The sequence below is a fragment of the Homo sapiens genome, chromosome 6 (genome assembly GCF_000001405.40).
Source record: "Homo sapiens chromosome 6, GRCh38.p14 Primary Assembly".
In the NCBI taxonomy this organism is placed as follows: domain Eukaryota; kingdom Metazoa; phylum Chordata; class Mammalia; order Primates; family Hominidae; genus Homo; species Homo sapiens.
Window position 1 is genome coordinate 4,386,076 of NC_000006.12, and position 3,463 is coordinate 4,389,538.

The following is a 3,463-nucleotide window of genomic DNA, read 5'->3' on the forward strand; positions in this document are numbered from 1 at the left end:
AAATATGCAAGACCTTAGGGAAATGATAAAAAAAGGGATTAAAGAATCAGTCCCTCAAACCCAGAATCTTACCAGAGCATTTGTTATACAGCGAGGGGAAGATGAAGGGCCTATAGAATTTTTAGACCAATTAAAAGACAAATGAGAAAGTATGCTCATCTAGATCTCAAGGATCCTTTTGGGCAGGGAATGTTAAAATTTCATTTTGTACTAACAATTGGCCAGATATTTCAAAGAAATTATAAAAGATAGAAAATTAGAAAAACTGTCCCATGAGTGAATTTCTTAGGAAGGCTCAAAAAGTGTATGTAAGAAGGGCCAAAGAAAACCAGAAGCAGAAGGCAAGAATTCTGCTGTTCACCATACAACAAAGTACTCGGGGCCAGAACCTATAAAGAGCCTAGGCCCCAACTTTCCAGGCCATATAAAGAACACCAAAGAGCAAAACCTGGGAACTTAAAATTAGGAGAGGAAGAAAGGATCTCTTTAAAGGCTATAATGCTTTGAAAACTGTGTTGGCAGTGTGGCATGACTGTTTCAAGTAGATAAAAGCTTGTCATTTTACCCCATCCTGGCATGACTGTGAAGCCGGTGAGGAAAGAGGAAGAAGGGCAAGTTCAGATGCCAGCTGGGTAGCTGGGACAGGTTGGCTGAGGGACCACTCGGGAGGTCTCTTGTGCCTGGCATTGCCCACTTCAGCCCAGTCACGTGTTTACAGCAACCAGAGTCCCTGCAAAGGTGTGGCTGGCTGTGGTCAGGGCCTACTAGCACCATCACCACACTCCCACCAGCGGCTTAGCTCCTCTCTGCCAGGCCAACTAAGAGTGCTTTGTCCTGGGTGGGACATGGGGGCTGATAGAGATGGGGGAAGACATAACACCCAGAAATGAAAACAGAGATTTAGAGAAGGAACCAGTTAAGTATGAGACAGAAGTGAAATATAAAAACTGATCAGCTAGTACCAAATTTCTGTTAATTCTGGAAGCAAGGACAAATCTATTAGGAAGAGATTTAATGCTAAAATTAGGCTTAGGCCTCCAAATCAATCATGGAAAATTCCTCCCCTTCCTAAACTTGCTCACCACTGCAGACGAAGAACACATTCATCCTGAGGTATGGTCAAAAGACAGGAATTGGGAACGTTACAGATTCCTTTGATTCATGTTAAATTAAAAATCCCTAGGGAAGTAGTAAAGAGAAAGCAATACCCTAATCCTTTAGAAGCCAGGGTAAATTTAAAACCTATAATTAAAGGTCTTCTCCATGATGGGCTTCTTGAACCCTGTATGTCTCCCTATAACACTCCAATACTGCCTGTAAGCAGCCAGATGGGTCATACCGGTTAGTGTAAGACCTTAGAGCTGTTAATCAGATAGTCCAAACTACACACGCTGTTGTTCCCAATCCTTACACTGTTATCAGTAGGATCCCATACAGCCACCAGTGGTTTATAGTAATAGATTTAAAAGATGCCTTCTGGGCTTGTCCATTAGCAGAGGACAGCTGGGACCTATTTGCTTTTAATTGGGAAAACCATCACTCAATTTCTCAAAAACTGATATTAGGTCTGTCTTCTGCCCTCTCCTCCCTCAAGACTCAAGGCATTCTAGCCCAGACTCCACCTCTTGAATTTCCAGTTCACCACCACCAGCCTGGAGATCACGTCCTCATCAGGAGTTGGAAAGAAAGGAGGCTCAAGCCCACTTGGGAAGGACCTTTTTTAGTGCTCTTAACAACTAAGACAGCAGTTCAGACCACCAAGAAGGGCTGGGCTCATCACACTCGAGTTAAGTGGGCACCACCCTTCCCAGAATCATGGACCATTGTTCCAGGACCAACTCCTGCCAAGCTAAGGCTAAAGTGGTTTAACCCTCTTATTCTGTATTTCTTTCCTTCCCCCTTCTATCACTAATCCCCTTATCATTAATGTAACCAAGTCAAGCTCACCCCAAACTATTACCTTTGATGCTTGCCTTGTTATACCCTGCAGAGATTTGTCAAGTCAAAAGCAACTCTCCACCTCAGAAAAGTATCTCTGTCCTTCCTGGCTGTCCTCAGATTGGGCATTTGTTAACTGGGATAAATTAGTTTGGGAAGAGTTTGACGAAGATTCCAATATGAACTGGGAATCTAGTCCTCTTAGAGCAGAGCTTCTCTGCCGAAGTTGGTCCAATGTTCTATGAAATACTAAAGGGCAAGGATGACCTCCCCAACTAGTACTTACAGTTTCTTAAAACCATATATTCATTTTACTAAAGGGATTACCCCTCCCAATTGTCAGCTGAACCAATGTAATCCAGCACAGATTACTATCTGTGCTCCCCAGAGTTCTTCCCCTTCATTAAGCCATTTCTATGGTATAGGAGCATAAGTCTCAGGGAAGGACCCCATAGGATCCTTTGAAATGTGCTTCACTGCTTCCCCACCTCCTGCATCCCCTTCTCGCTCTCCTAAGTTCTCTGCTAACCAAACCTTTTCTCATTATATACCCAATGATAAAACCAGAGTAGCTGTTGTAGAGGTTAAAGATTTAAAACAAATTATAGCAATTGAAACAGGGTATCAGGACGCAAATGCTTGGCTGGAATGGATTAAATATTCTGTTCACATGCTAAACAAAAGCAACTGTTACTCTTGTGCAACAGGCAGGCCAGAGACCCACATTGTCCCCTTTCCACTTGGGCGGTCCTGTCACCGAGGAGGCATGAGCTGTATGATAGCCCTCTTCCAGAACCCCATAGCCTGAGGCGATGAGTCATGCAAGACTCTTTCACTGCTGTTCCCTGAGGTCAAGAGCCCTGCAGGTCAGCCCCTGAGGGCCATCCGGCCTCCAGCTCCTAATATTAACTTCACCTCGTGCCTTTCACAGCAGGGGGAAACGTTTGCATTCCTTGGAGACTTAACAGGGTGCAGTGATACCAAGCCTTTTCAAGAGCTTACCAATCAGTCTGCCCTTGTTCATCCCTGAACGAATGTGTGGTGGTATTGCGGAGGACTATTGTTGGGTACTCTGCCAATTCACTGGAGTGGCACTTACGCTCTAATTCAACTGGCTATCCCTTTCATCTTGGCACTTCATCAACCAAGAAAGTTGAAAACAGAATGTCATAAAAAGAGAGATGTCTCTCAAGGATCCTTTGATCCTCATGTTTATATAGATGCTATTGGAGTACCACAAGGGTTACCAGATGAATTCAAAGCCTGAAATCAAATAGCTGCAGGATTCAAGTCTATATTGTTCTGGTGGTCAACTGTAAACAAGAATGTAGCTTAGATAAATTATGTCTATTATAATCAACAACACTGTGTTAATTATACTAGATATACTATTAAAGGAATACTTGAACAATTAGGCCCTACCAGCCAAATGGCCTGGGAAAATAGAATAGCCCTTGACATGATATTAGCTAAAAAAAAAAAAGGTAGGGTTTGTGTCATGATTGAAGTCCAATATTGTACTTTT